Source organism: Homo sapiens, chromosome 15 (assembly GCF_000001405.40).
Source record: "Homo sapiens chromosome 15, GRCh38.p14 Primary Assembly".
In the NCBI taxonomy this organism is placed as follows: Eukaryota; Metazoa; Chordata; class Mammalia; order Primates; family Hominidae; genus Homo; species Homo sapiens.
Window position 1 is genome coordinate 94,436,829 of NC_000015.10, and position 14,878 is coordinate 94,451,706.

Below are 14,878 nucleotides of genomic sequence, written 5' to 3' on the forward strand. Positions count from 1 at the left end.
AACAACCACCATTGAGTATGCCGTTAAAACCCTTAATCCCCCCAAAAAACGTAACAATAGGGAAAGGGAAATAGGTAACAAACAGGAAAATCTCTAGCTTTACCTAATAAAGAAATTACTATTGGCTCTACTTTTTGCTATGTTTTATTTTATAAAAAAAGAAACATTTGAAAAGAAGAAAATTATAGGAACAGATTATATATTTGACATTATAAAACTTTAAATAAAGGAAAGTTGATGGAGCAAGCCACACTAGAGGAAATCAGTGTGGTTTGATTTTTTTCATTGATCCAAAAAGTATTTCAAAAATTTCACACTTACACATCCAAAAAAAAAAAAAAAAAAAAAAAGAGGTTTAGCACTAGGAGGAACGTAACATATAGAATGGAAGAAGGTGAAGGAAAATCGTCATGATTTGCAGTTGATATGATTTTCTACATCAGATCTACAAAAGAATGTATTTGCAGTCTCTTACAGCTAATAAGAGGTGAATGTGAATATATAAAAAAGAAAGAATGTGAATATATAAAAATTAGTGTTTCTGTACCCAGCATTAACAATTAAATGATAAACCTTAAAATTGTTCCGTTGCTATTTATAATAGTGTTAAACTCCAAGTTACTTAAAAAAAATGAAACATGGAAAATCAGTACAGTGAAAAAATATTTTGAGATACATAAAAAGTTCTGAATATAGAGAAATAATCATTATGAAATGTTAATATCAAGATACCAATTATCTTTAAATTATCAAGACAATCTCAGTCTTAATTTTTCTGAGTTGTATAGAAATTTATAAATTAATTCTGAAATACACGTGGAAGAGTAAAGGGTGAAAAAATATCCAAGATCATTTTGAGCGTGTAATAAGAGACTTGCCCACTCAGATATTGTATGGTTACGAAATTATAGTTTTTAAAATGTGGTCTTGGTAAAATATAGGAAAATATATCAATGGAGAACTGAGAGGGCTCAGAAACAATAGACACACTCATGTGGGAACTTGGTATATTGACAGAAGTAGCAATGTAGATGAAAGAGAAAAATGGGGATCATTACAGGAATTTAGCTGTAAAAGATGGCTGTAAGGAAAAAGTTCACATTGGATTGCCTGAGTTAAAAAAAAAAATTAAAAACAACAAAATTGAGACAGAATAAAGATCATACACAGTCATCTTTAGAAGAAAACACAAGGAAATAGCTGTATGAACTCAAGGTAGAATATGATTTCTTAAGTAGAACACTGAACATTAAAGGTAGAAATCCTAATGTAAAAGACTAATATATTTGATTACGTAAAACCACTATTTCAGCCCATGTTTGCATTGATGAGCGAGTATAGTCGTCAAATTGCAGAGCATTCATTTGAATGGGAACTATATTAGTTAAAATAAATGTACTTGATTTACGCATACACCGTGAAAAGAACTATAAAACATACTATTGGTTAAAATATTTGCAGAATGATAGGAACATTTTTATTTTGTTATTACTAATATATACCTAAGGTGCCCTGAGGTGGAAAAAATTCACATCAAATTTAGGACAAGGTTGTCTTTGGAAATGAGAGGAATAGGACTGAGGAAGGTTGACAAAAAGAACACGAGCGTCTATGCAAAACATCTTTAAGTGTTAGAAAATAAAATACAGCAATACGGGTTCACCTCAGTGAAGGAGTTTCTCCCAGAAATACAAGATTGCTTCAAATTATGAAATTACAAATACAATACTTCACCATATTGATGTCTTTAAATGAAAAGGATAAAACCATCCTTATCTCAGAAGATACTGAACGAACGGTTGGTTAGCTACCAACCATTCTTGATCTTAAAAATTATACCCTGTTAAAATTGCTGGACAAATTTTTGTTTAAAACATGTTTTTATTAGGTTTATAACAGATATGAAAGAGTATTTATAAAACATTTCAAAGATATAAAGAATAATGATCACCTATATGTAAATTTTCTGGTATTAAAAATGGTTTGTGTGTGTTCTTAATGTGGTATGATTTATCACTCTAGAAGTATTTTCATTAAAGCCACGAATTAAACAGTGATATCCTTCTGAACAGTTTAACAATTTTTTGTAGGAGTAATGAAATCAAGCAGGAAAAAAATTACAAATAGAAAAGAGGAAACAGAAGAGGATCCTTAATTGTAGATTATGTGACTATATTCTTAGAAGCCTCGCAGGAATGAAATAAACTATTTGATACAATAAAGAATATTCAGTAAGGCTGCTAATGTTAAAAATATATATGTAAATTATTTGCTTTTATATGTAAATAATGACAAGTTTGAAAAACATAATGGAAGAAGTGATTTTATTTACAATGGGCACCAAAAAATAAAAGCAATATATGATAATCACAAAGAGAAAATTTTTAAATGTTAGAAAAAGTTTTTAGCAATGAAACAGTATTGCTTTTGGAAAGGAAGATTTCATATTTAAGATGCAGTAATTTGCCTTTTCTAAGTTGATATGTTATAGCAGTGGTTTTTTTCAAGCACTTACAGACAGCTGATAACCACAAATTACCTTATTTCGTCTTCTAGACTACCGGTGAGTTTGAAACGAAAGTGAGACTCAAATTTTGAAGTAATTTACCCAAAATTTCACTCCTGCCTCATGTTATAATTAAAAGGTGTTCTCACCTTATTTATCCTAATTAGTGTGTTTCTTGGAGGTAGAACCATCTACCTGCATTCATGTCTCTAATAACCATTGTAGCATAGGCAGTTGGACTCAGTCTCAAATTCTCACTTGCCTTTCTATGTGAGGAGTCACAAATTTCAGAGGTTGACAGAAATTGGGCAGCTAAGGGCATACCTTTTCTGATGTAGACAATGCTAGCCAATCATTTTCTTGTGTCCATATAGTCTCGAAATTGGTAGATTTTAAGCACTTTAACAAAAGTTTGGAAATCCAAAGTCTTTCTCTGAAATATTTGGATTTTTCAATATTGGCAGCCAACTGAAAAAGTAGTGGCTCTTTCCTGTTCAAATAAACCTCACTTTTGGCAAAATTTGGTCTCTGGCCTGCGTCTTTGTGACCTTGGACTTTTTCCATACTACTTTCCATAAATTCTGGCACACTAAAATCCATGGGCTTTTCAGGTATGAAGCCACTGTATCTGTCTATTCCAGAGCGTGACTAATCAGCTCTTTCTATGCTACCAGTTCTAAAAATGAGTTGATCATTGTGTGTGTGCGTACCTGTTTGGAAATGTTTCTGAATGTGACTAGAAAGAGTCCAATTGAATCTCCTTACATCAATGAGTAGGAATTTGATTGCTCCCCTAGTGTTTTATCAAGCAGTCGTGTATTCTTATTTGTCTTTCAATCAGGTATTTTTGATCACTGTCTGGAATTTTGAACTATATATGATCCCCTTGGCATTGTTGCTGATCTTTGTCTACAATTTCATCAGACCTGTGAAAGGCAAGGTCAGCAGCATCCAGGACAGCCAGGTAAGCAAGGATTCGGAGTTCTGACATTTGACTGCCGAGAAATGTGTTAACAACAAACTACCACCACCACCAAATCATGGCCCAAGTCCATTTCGTTTGAGGTGTAAGGAGCAGCCCTGCAAAGGCACTCATTTTGCAGTGGAGGTCTTCTATCATGAATAATCTGGAGTCTTCTTTCTGTGGCATCTTACGTTCCTGAGTCTTGGCCTGCATGAAGGGAGCCTCTGGTTCATGGTTATCATTTCCATGCTGGTAGCACATGTCTGTGTGCTCATCTGATTCTCTGTAGAGTTCCTGTGAACAACCTCCTCAGTCACTAGCGAGAAACCTTTGCTGGCTCTGTGGGCCATTGCTGGGCATGCAGAGAGCTCTGCAGGGCTAACTCTGGCCTTTCCATGAAGGCACCTTATGCAATGTTCTCTCTGGCTTGAAGGCTCAGGAGATTCCCAGAGGCTTGTCAACTCCCAGGGCAATCAGAGAGTGGGTGGGCTTAGATCCATCTATTTGCAGGTGCCCACATTTGTCTGGAAATTCCCAAACTTCCTGTCCTGTTGAAGAAAGCAAGACCCTTTCTCAAAGACATCTCTCCGCATCTACTCATCTCACTTCCACTCTGACTCTCCTGCTCCTGGCCCCCTCATTGCACCCCATAAGATCTTTTTCTGCTCTGCTCTAGGTGGCCAGGAACTTGTATTTGTAGGCTTTTTTTTTATGATGTAATCTAGGCATTCCAGCTTCAAGAACCAAGTTTTTAAAACAAAAATCTAAAGTCCTAAGACTTGATTAATTTTCTTTCTAGATGGATCACCTTCACATTTGGTTTCCCAAGAGTCAATCAAACCCTGACTGTTTTTATTTTTCCTTATGTCCTCATAATGGATTTAAGGGAGGTTTCTGGTTTCACTTAGGAAGGAAGGTGGGAAAAATGAGTATTGTGGCAAGAGGAAAAACCTCAGGCAATTTCAAAATTCTATTCTGTTTGATTTTAATTATTTAATGCAATAGGCATGAACACATATCAGTGAGAAAATAGAACCAGCTAATAAATGAATGGCTTTAATAGATCCATTTAAGGACTAGGTTTCACAGAGTTATAGATAATGGAAATTTTTACAAAGAAACATCTCTGATATCTATGTTGTCAACTAACATTTTTACAATGTTTACGCAGGTTTTATGTTGCCCACTGTGTATATATGTTTATAGTATGTGCATATGTGTGCATGTGAGAGCATGTACATATACTGGCATACATGTGCATATTAATATACCTATATGCACATAAGTGTGTATGTATGTATAAAGCCTTTATTTATAAAACATTGAAAATAATTACCTAATTTAGTTCGATAACACAACTATGAGGGAGGCAAGAACTATTTTCATTTTATGTCTTATGAAACTACAGTGCATAGTGACGAAGTGATTTGCCTAAAGTCACAAAGCAAAAACTACTGGAACCATGTCCCAAGCTAAAGACTTCTCCCAATTATAGCGTTTTTTCCTCCCATAGCCTGTTTTCATTACCTTCCTGTTTATCCATTGGCTTTCATGAGACATGTTTGCTGCCAGTTGTGAATAGGTTAGTTCCCCAGAGGACCCATGAGTACCACACAAACTGCTAGCTGAATCTTGTGAGAATTCTAGGAGGTAGGGCTATACCGGCCCTGAAGAAATTTCTTGATGACTGCTCAGTGGTTTTATGGAATGTAGCAGAGTATTCTCTGGATACTTTAGAGTTACTCCCTTTTAAGAGCATGATATTGACAATTCTTTTTACTAGTGGAACAGTGACATCTGAACAGCGTGCCTGACCTTTGCAAGGTTAAGCAGAAATGCAAGTGTTCAAGCTGAAAATAGACCGTGTTGTCTAACACTGAGCTTTCTTTCCAAACTACTGACCCTATTTGATTATGTACCAACAGATATTAGTTTTTAAACATTGCAGTGCTATGATCAAACTCTGGCCATTAAATAGCCAAGATTTTTATATTCATCTAAACAAGGCCGTTAGCAGTACAGCTGGTGCTGTGGCACCTGAGCTAAAGCCAGGCACCCTTAAGTCCAGATCTGAGCCTTGAGTTTCCTTCCCTCACCTGCCCCTTCTAACCCTAAACCCAGGGCAAAATAATAATGCCACAGAGAAACCTGTAACTTATTCTTAAGATTGATTATATTCAGACTAATGCATTTTATACTGTCTGATGTTTCAGTAATGGCCCCAAAGGGAGAGAGCAGTCATTATAACAATGAGCCCAGCACTAGTGGAGTATGGTATTCTCAGCCTTAACGTAGCAGTTGGTTCATTTGTCAGAATAAGAACAACACTGTTTACAGAAAGTACAACTCAGCAATGCATTTTTAAAGCTGGATGCCTTCAAAGGGCACTGGCCTAATAGCTTTATTTATAGTCAATGGTTTTATGTAGATTATGCATATTGTTTAGAGTCCTGCCACAGTGTCCCTGAACTTTAAAAGAGTTATTGTTTAAGAGGTTGTAATGCATTTCAAAAATATAAATGCTTGAAGTCTGTAGGCAAGCTTTAAAATGTGTCTGAGTTTAATTTGCATTTGTTAATTTCGGTTGATGTTTCTATAAACACGTGGGATTTCCTTTCAGGAGAGCACAGACATAGATGACGAGGAGGATGAAGATGACAAGGTGCGTATGTTCAAGAAAGAACACACACAAAAAAACACTAGTGTTGTCAACAGATAGCATTCCTTCAGGTTGAGTCTCTCTCCTCTCTTTTTTTTTTTTTTTTTAATATGATAGAGTTACCAGTATAGTAATATTATTGTAACTTTTAAAAAGGATATCCCTTTTTAAGATTTTTAAAAATGAGGTTGAGAAGGGTAAAATAGAAGGAATAATTGAAATGTTATAAAAAGCATAACTATAGGAGGCCTTTCATTGGATACAAGCCAAGATTAGCCTTCCCCTTTATAGATAAAAGGTAGCCTGGGAAGTCAAAAGTAAATCAAGTGAAATTGCTGCTGCTTTAGGCTCATGTCTGCACTCTGTGGGGTGGTCACCCACTTCCGCGCCTGTCATTTTCCCAGCTGTTCCTGGCAGCGTTTTCAGCTATATGTCTGTGTACATCTGTCCTTTTCCTTCTCCTGGGAGAATCTCTCAAATCTGCTGCTTTTGTTGTCATTACGCTTTCAGACAAACCTTCTGGAATAAAATGAAACAAGTGAAATGCCAAATGAGATGCTACTAGCTTAATGGGCTTCCAGTCCCCTTCACCTGTGGGTATCTGGGGCGAGGGATGGTAACATGTAGGAAGCTTGTGCAGAGGAAAGGGTAAAAGGGGGAACCTTGAGAGTAAGTATCCAGTGTAAATGCCCATTGAATAGAAATGTATTCAAAGACACTGGCTCTGTGATACAAAGAGCCTTAGAATTAATTGAGTGGACCAGATGGTTTTGCCCATTTGAAGCAAATGGGGTGGATTACAAAGTAAATCTTATTTGTTGTGTTAAGAGGATCATTAATAGCAAAATAATAAAATCAAGTATAATACTTTTAGAGGAAAATGACCTTTTTCAGAAAAGGGTTCACACAGATGCAAGTTTCTTATTGATGTCTTGATGTTAGCTAGCGGTTTCTGAGTGATTAAGTCATTGAATATTGTCAAAGGGAAGCTAAGTTAATAAGGTTTATAATGGGATATTTTACCAAAAAAAAAAAAAAAAAAAAAAAAACAGAAGTATTAGTGAAATTATTTTAAACCTGTATGAGGTGATAACTGCAAGTCTAGGCCTCCTGTTCTTCAGACTGGCCAGCTATCAGGTGGGGGTTCCCACAACCCCTTTCTTGGATTCAACAAATTTCTAGAACGGCTCACAAAATTTAGGGAAATATTTTCTTATATTTACTGATTATTATAAAGGACACAATTCAGGAACAGCCAAATGGAAGAAATGCACAGGGCAACGGATGGGGGAATGGGTGTGGAACTTCCACGCCCTCTCTGGGCATACCCTAGAGCACCTCCATGTGTTCACCAACCCAGAAGCTTCCAGAAACGGTATTTTTGTTTCTATGAAGGTTTCATTACATAGGCATAATTGACTGAATGTTTGGGCATTGGTGTTTAAGTCAATCTCTGGCCCCCTCTTCCTTCCCTGCAGGTCAGGGCTGGGAGTACTGAAAGTTCTAACCTTCTAATCATGGGTGATTCTCCTGGCCACCAGCTCCCCCATCATCAGAGGCTTTCCAAAAGTCTCCTCATTAGCAGAAAGTCAGGTGTGGTTGAAAGGGGCTTGTTATGAATAGCCAAAAGATGCTCTTCTCATCTCTCTTGCTCTGGAGCTATTTTAGGAACTGAGGACCAAACCAAATATTATAGCAAAAGATGTTCGTATCTCTCTTATCACTTAGGAAACTCCAGGAATTTTAGGAGCTTTGTGCCAGGAACCAGGGACAAAGAACAAGCATACATTTCTTATTATATCATAACATCACATTAGGCAAAATTCTAAATATTTATAAACCAAGGCCTGGATGAAAGGAAGATTTCTTCCTGTTTGGCCAAGCCTGTTTAAATGAACCACCAGTAGAAGAGGATGTCCTCCCCGCTTTAGGAATAACGGTGACCATGTATCTTTGGCCCATCTAGTAAAGGAGAGTATCCAACAAGATGATGAATGGAAACATGGTATTCAGTGACTGGCAAGCAACAAAATCAGGTCATAGTCTAGACCAGTGGTTGTCAAGGTCTAGTCTACCACTGATGTACTTCAAGAGCTACCTGAAGGTCTGGAGAGACAGCCCTTTGGTCTGTGCTTTAAACCTTTCTGGGCAAGGATGACTGAAGAAAGAGTTGGAACAGCAGCATCCATAGGGATAAGCCTGGGAGCTGTTGCATTCATCTCAGCATGGCCCAAACCCATACCAGTTGTGCCAACCTGTCCCAAGTTGAGGGTGCTGGCATTAGGGTTCTCCTCCTTCCCTCCAGAGAAAGTTTATTCTTAACATGTTTTTATTATAGTATTTGAATAGCACTTTGTAATAGACAAATATAACCATGGTGGTTTTGCTTTCCCAATTTTATATTTCTATGAAATCTTCTAGAGGAATAAATCTAAAATGATATTTTGACTTCTGTTTATGCCTCTTCTGCTTAACACAACCCTTCTATTGTTAGGAAAGGCTGGTGAATTTTTCCATCCTTGTCCATCTCTTTTCATTCTTCCTTCTGTAAGGGATTTGTAAACTAAAGGGATCTTCAACTTTCAGACTTTTTGAGTGCACATACACATATGTATTACGACACTTGGTTTCTTCTCTGTGCAGATCAGCTTCTCCCACCGAGGTATGCTTGTCATAGACCAGGACATGCAGTCACTGGGTGGCTCCCCGTCATAGTGAGCTGGAAGAAAGGTCTACTCACTGAGCCCTTCTGGCTTCTGTTGTGTGTTAGACATGACAGACCATGCTTCTGGGAACTGTAACACACTCAGTGAGAGATGAACTGTTTACAAATTATAAACACACAGCCATTTTGTTCAAAACCAGAAGAGGAGAGAAACTTCTTTCTACCCAAACCATCCATCTTGAAGGTGACACTCTTTAATTGCCAGTGCTCCTTCCCACCACATACCATCACGGACGACTGTGGAAGATAAAAGCGTGCCGGGGCCTGTTGGCACAACTTCCTCAGGAGATGAATGCTTTGCCATGTTCTGCCTGTCTCTGATGCACAGACCAGGACACTGGGGTCTGTCATTCTTTTATTGTCTGGAACAGGGATTGTTGTAAAATGACATCACTGTAACCCCTTGTTCCTTAGCATTGTGAAAAGTTCATGGTAGTAACTTGTATTAGAAACCAGATTAGACTTCACAATTTTGCCTTTTCTTTTGCAGACTTTCAGGGATAACATAGAACTTTCAGGTAACTAGGTTTTTGCCTTGTAGGAGATGAAATGTACAAGCTAAACTTTGAAGAGAGGAAATCCTCCTTTCTAATACCTGACGGCTCATGTAAGAAATTGCTTGTTACAAGTCTAGTTTTCTAGAGACTCCAGAACAAACAGATAATAGCTAAGTTCAGCCAACAGCAATCAGTTGACATTTCCTATTTGTATTAGATTCCATATGTGGAATCCTTCCATGTGGACCTTATTTGTACGGATGGATTACAATGAAAATTGCATTAATTTTCTACACAGTAAAGGTCAGTAATTGAAGCATGAACCAAGAAACTATTGTGTAAAATGCTGTATCCCATACTTAGGAAAGGTCAAGCAAGACAATAATATCTTGTTTTCATTACAGAAGGTATAAATACTTGCACTAGAGTTTCTTTCTTTTTCCAGCCCAACAATCACTTACATAGAATATTTCAGCATTTTCTATTAACATCAGGAAGAAGGAATCATAAGGGCATGTAATAAAAGAAAAAAAGCCCTGCTTAATGCTATCAAAAAGAAACTGTGCTCCAAGGCTTGCATTGTGGGTTGGTTTGTTCATAACTAGGTTGTCAGAAACAGGACTTGAATGATCTGTCCTTTTAGCATCTTCAATGAGGTCACAATTGCCTGACAGTGTTTATGAAAAACAATATGACCCTTTTATATCAGTTGTAGATGAAAAACAGATATGGACATTTTCCTTTAAGAAAATAAGAAACATCTAATCCATTTTTGTTGATTGATTGAGGAGCATATTATAATGGAAGGATACAAATGGGTATTGTATCTATATTCTATTTTCACAAATTAGTTTGTCATCATTAAAATTTAAGTACAGTTTAAACCATTAATTTCAGTGTTTAAAATGATTTTCCATCCTCTAAATTGATTAGTCAGTCCCTTCCTCATTACCCAGACAGGGCCTTCTTAGTGGGAGAAGCACATGGCATGTATCTAGGAGTTCTCACTGTGAATTAACCTGTAGAGTGCTTTGGATGATGTGGTTAAGTCCACTGTGCCTCATTCCCTGTGTTTCCTTGTGCCAGAAAGAGAGAGGAGATGATCTATAATATCCTAACCAGAGAAAACTGATGTTCATAGAGGAGGTCTTCTTAACAATCTAACAATGAGAGTAGTTTTGTCTATAATTCATTTGTGTGTGTGTGTGTGTTGTGTTTGTTTGTTTGTTTTTTGAGACAGAGTTTCACTCTGTTGCCCGGGCAGGAGTGCAGTGGTGCCATTTCGGCTCAGTGCAATCTCTGCCTCCCAAGTTCAAGTGATTCTCGTGCCTCCGCCTCTGGAGTAGTTGAGACTACAGCCATGTGCCACCACACTGCATTAGAGATAGGGTTTTACCACGTCGGCCAGGCTGGTCTGAAACTCCTGGCCTCATGTGATCTGCCCACCATGGCCTCCCAAAGTTCTGGGATTACAGGCATGAGCCACCATGACCGGCCTGTTTGCGCTTTCTTAAGAATGTCTAAAACAGTAAATTGGTTAGATTAGTAATTTTTTAAACTATGACATAAGCAGTGATATTTAACAATGATAAAGTGTTGTATTTTTAAGAAAATAAAAAGCCAGAGAGTATCTTTGAATGGTTAACAATAGTTGCATGTGCACACACTCACCTTCAGGGATATACAATTTATACACAGGGCATATTGTAAAAGACCTGCTTATGGCTAACTTTCAGGGGAATAAAGTGCATGGGAATTCTAATTTAAGTCCTTTTAATTTGATTTAATATGGTTTTTAGTGATGAAGTGACTTAATTGCTAACATTTTTATCATACCATCTTTCAAGCCTTTTATAGTGAAGTGGATTCCAGCCAATTCTTAATTATCAGTTTATGCATGTTTTGGATGAGAGGGGGTTGCCTTCCCAATTTCCTGTAGTCCGCTGGCAAATCAACTTGCTTAAATATTCTTTTTAAAAATCAAACTCTCATTCTTAACAATGTTTTGACTTGATAACCTTTAGAAGTCATCCAGAAATAGTATCAGTCTGGCCTTCTGGAACCTTATTCAGAGCATCCTGCTTATTATCAAGCTCACTAATATTCCTAGTACAAGTAGATCTTTCTGATTTCTATTCTAAGGATTGTAGTATATTATTCTCAAATATTATGAAATGTGATATGCCAGACTCAATTAGATGAATTACCTGTCCTTCTCTTAGCGAATGTGCATTGCCTGACCAAATTTCGTCAGAGGCGCTGATTTTTTCGTAGTCTATATAGATTGAGTATCCCTAATCTAAATACTTGAAATCCAAAATGCCCCAGAATTTGAAACTTTTTGAGTGCTAATTATCAAAGGAAATGATCATTGGAGCATTTTGGGTTTCTGATTTTTAAATTAGGAATGATCAGCCAGCATGATGCACGTATTCCCAAATCCCAAAACAATCTGAAATCCAGAACACTTCTGGTCCCAAGCATTTTGGATAAAGGATACTCAACCTGTATTGCATCTAGATATTTCATTTCCCATTGCTTAGAATTGTCACATCATGAGAAGGTAGAAGACATTGGACATTGCATCCTGATTATCCACAAGTGATTGGTTTTCTGAAAATAGTAGCTATGTCTTTTGTATTTAAAAATAAATCTGATTGAGACCATCCTGGCCAACATGGTGAAACCCCATCTCTACTAAAAATACAAAAATTATCTGGGCATGGTGGCGCACACCTGTAGTCCCAGCTACTCGGGAGGCTGAGGCAGGAGAATTGCTTGAACTGGGAGGCAGAGGTTGCGGTGAGCCGAGATCGTGCCACTGAATTCCAGCCTGGCGACAGAGCGAGACTCCATCTCAAAATAAATAAATAAATCCCTGATCTGTTTTACTGTGACTCACCCAATTATCCAATGAGTTTATGAGATAATTGATAGAAAGGGGGGATACCACTTTTTTCTTCAAGGGAAAAGTAATCACTGGAATAAAGTATTAAACAAGAATAATAAATTAAAACAAGGCCATTTCAAGTAAGAATTATTTAAGCAATTAGATTTATGAAAATATTAATATTTTAATTTGCAGGCTGCTTTTATGTGCAGGAGCTCATTCAGTACTCAAAACAAAATATTAAGTTTCATAATATGTTCCCTTGTCTACAAATGAACAAACCAAGGCTAAGAGAACTTCCGTAACATATATGAGATTTCTCAGCCAGGATAGTGGCAACACTCAAACCCATCTCTTCTGGTCTAAATCTTATTTTTGACCATGCTCCGTTATTGTGAAGGAAACCTGTCATTAATTTATTGGTTCATTTTTCTGCATTATTTTGCCAATGTTTATTGATGTCTTTGTACCAAAGCCTCTATGAATACAAAAATTACAACCATAAACAAGGTGCTCATAGTAAACAACCCCAGTTCCCTAGGACTTCTGCTTTCATCAAGGTTTGTAATGTTGTTGTAGATGCTATGTTGGGAAACAGAGGAGAAATGCTAGGTGAGGCAGGACTGCTAAAAGGTGATGTTTGAGCTGAATCTTAATAATGATTTTTTAACTTGTTCCATTGCTGAATCACACAAATATTTTATCTTATACCCACTCCTTTATTGTACCTGGGAGAAAACTAAAGGATTCACACAGCTAAACCAGCAACTGCCACCCCTGGTATATTTATCTACAGTAGTTACAGTTATAGAAAACCATTAGCCTTGTTTACCTTGTGGTGGCTTGGTGTTCTGTCACTTAGTGCAGAGAGACTTTTAATGAAATCAATCTTTCAAGGGTCTAGGTTCCAAATATTTTTTTCCCTAATCTGTTGCCAATTTTTCAGTTGTATTTTGTGAGTATCTTCCTATTGAGCTGACTGTGTATTCCTTTTACTTTTTCAACCCTATTATTTGATACTAGATGATATTCATGTTGCAGGCCACAAAAAAAAGTGTTGGTAAATACCAGTACAGTAAGTGCTTTATGTAATGAACAGATAGAGCAATATAAAACCACTTAGAAATGATATTGATTCAAAATCCAAATACTATTTTATATTCATTTCCCAAAGCAAAAGAACTACTTGAGAAAGAAGTACACTCCAGAAAGAGTACAGATCTCCCCACTCCATTTTAATAGCACGAGCTGTGGCGTTGACTCCATGTGTGTGTGCGTGTGTGTGTGCACGCGCACGTGTGCGTCTGCATCCCTGCATGCCCACAAAATGCCTCATGGGAAGAATTTCTAAATGACAGCTCCTGGTGCATTGCTGGGATTCCCAAAGAATAATTTTTAATTTCATGTATCAGAAATATTGCTGCTTGTTCTTTGTTATGACAGATGCTAAGCTTTTTTTCATGCTAAATGCCACTCAATCTATTTCTAATGTTTATAATTCTTCAAGTTTTCAAATTATAGGCTTTTAATATTCAGTGGGATGAAACAGACCAAACATATTCTTATTTAAAGTCTAAAGGTATATTTTTGCATCTTTAGTCTAGATGATTGAAATTACTGGGAGGATTTTGAGATAAAAATTTTTGCATTAATCTCTTCTGAGAATTCTGTTCATCCTGTGACAAATACTACTCAGTTTTTAAGCATGTCAGAAGGATTTTTTCCTGACATGGTCAATTTTCAGGACTTTGTCTCCTGTTTTGCTTAGGGAATTAATAGAGAAATGAGAAGTTTTCTAAATCAGAACATGTAGGAGAGATTTAAAGTAACACCCTGATTGTGTAATTAATTCTTAGTTGTAAATTCATTTTGATGGTGTTAATTCTCTGCCTGAGGCTCGAAGCTAGTTTATTGCACCTATGGTGCTATACTCATTGGATACCCAACGCCAACAAGGCCTTAAGAAAGGAAAGATTTGCCCTGATTTTTAAAATTTTTTTTCTTTTTTAAAAAAGAACAATTGTGTTACAACACAGACACATTATTTGTTCTTAGTTCTGCTTACAAAAGTTAGCAAAAATACTCAATCCTTTTAACATTTTATAAATGAATAATGAAAAATGGTGGGCTTGTACTCATCTTCATATGATATATATTTTTAGGTTACCAAGTTAGTTTACTTTTCTCACAGTGAATGCTCTTCTTTTTTATTGTGTGTTTAAAAAAAACAAGGAAACCTTATGAAATTTGAAAAATTCCATGCTTTCATCTCTTCATTATTTGGTGATGCAGGCTTGCTCACAAAGTAGACCCCTAAAGCATGTGAATTTTATTTATGCCTCCACATTTTTTCACATTTGTAACGAGAAGTGATATCCCTCTTTTTCAAATATAGGAATCTAAAACTATGTATTTAGCCACAATAATCTTGTTCATTTATTTAATCACACCAGTGGCCTTCACTATTTTTATTACACATTTCCCTCTGTAAATTGGAAGCCTTATATGTTAAGGGAAAATAGAAGCACATGTGACAGCAGTTCTGTCTTTCTGAATGAATCACTGTTACTCTTCCTAGGCAGTTTGGTAGCAACAGCAGATGTAATGTTGTGTTTGCTAAACTGTGTTATCACCACA

At 36.6% G+C, this 14,878-nt stretch overlaps 1 protein-coding gene across 22 annotated transcripts in view; it reads left to right on the top strand.

Annotated features, from left to right (window-relative positions):
• Positions 1 to 14,878, top strand: part of MCTP2 (multiple C2 and transmembrane domain containing 2) — a 252,587-nt gene that overhangs the window by 205,463 nt on the left and 32,246 nt on the right. For 13 of the 22 annotated variants that reach the window (NR_169532.1, NR_169527.1, NR_169531.1 and 10 more), the window contains 2 exons: positions 3,348 to 3,470; positions 6,091 to 6,132. The exons of 6 other annotated variants lie outside the window; for them this stretch is intronic. Coding sequence is in view for 11 of the 16 variants with exons in the window: in XM_047432839.1 (XP_047288795.1) it covers positions 3,348 to 3,470; positions 6,091 to 6,132 (165 nt within the window). In the remaining 5 variants the exon portion in view is untranslated. The remainder of the gene's footprint in view (positions 1 to 3,347; positions 3,471 to 6,090; positions 6,133 to 14,878) is intronic. 3 more of the 22 variants (NR_169530.1, NM_001385005.1, NM_001385006.1) reach the window with 2 other exon arrangements.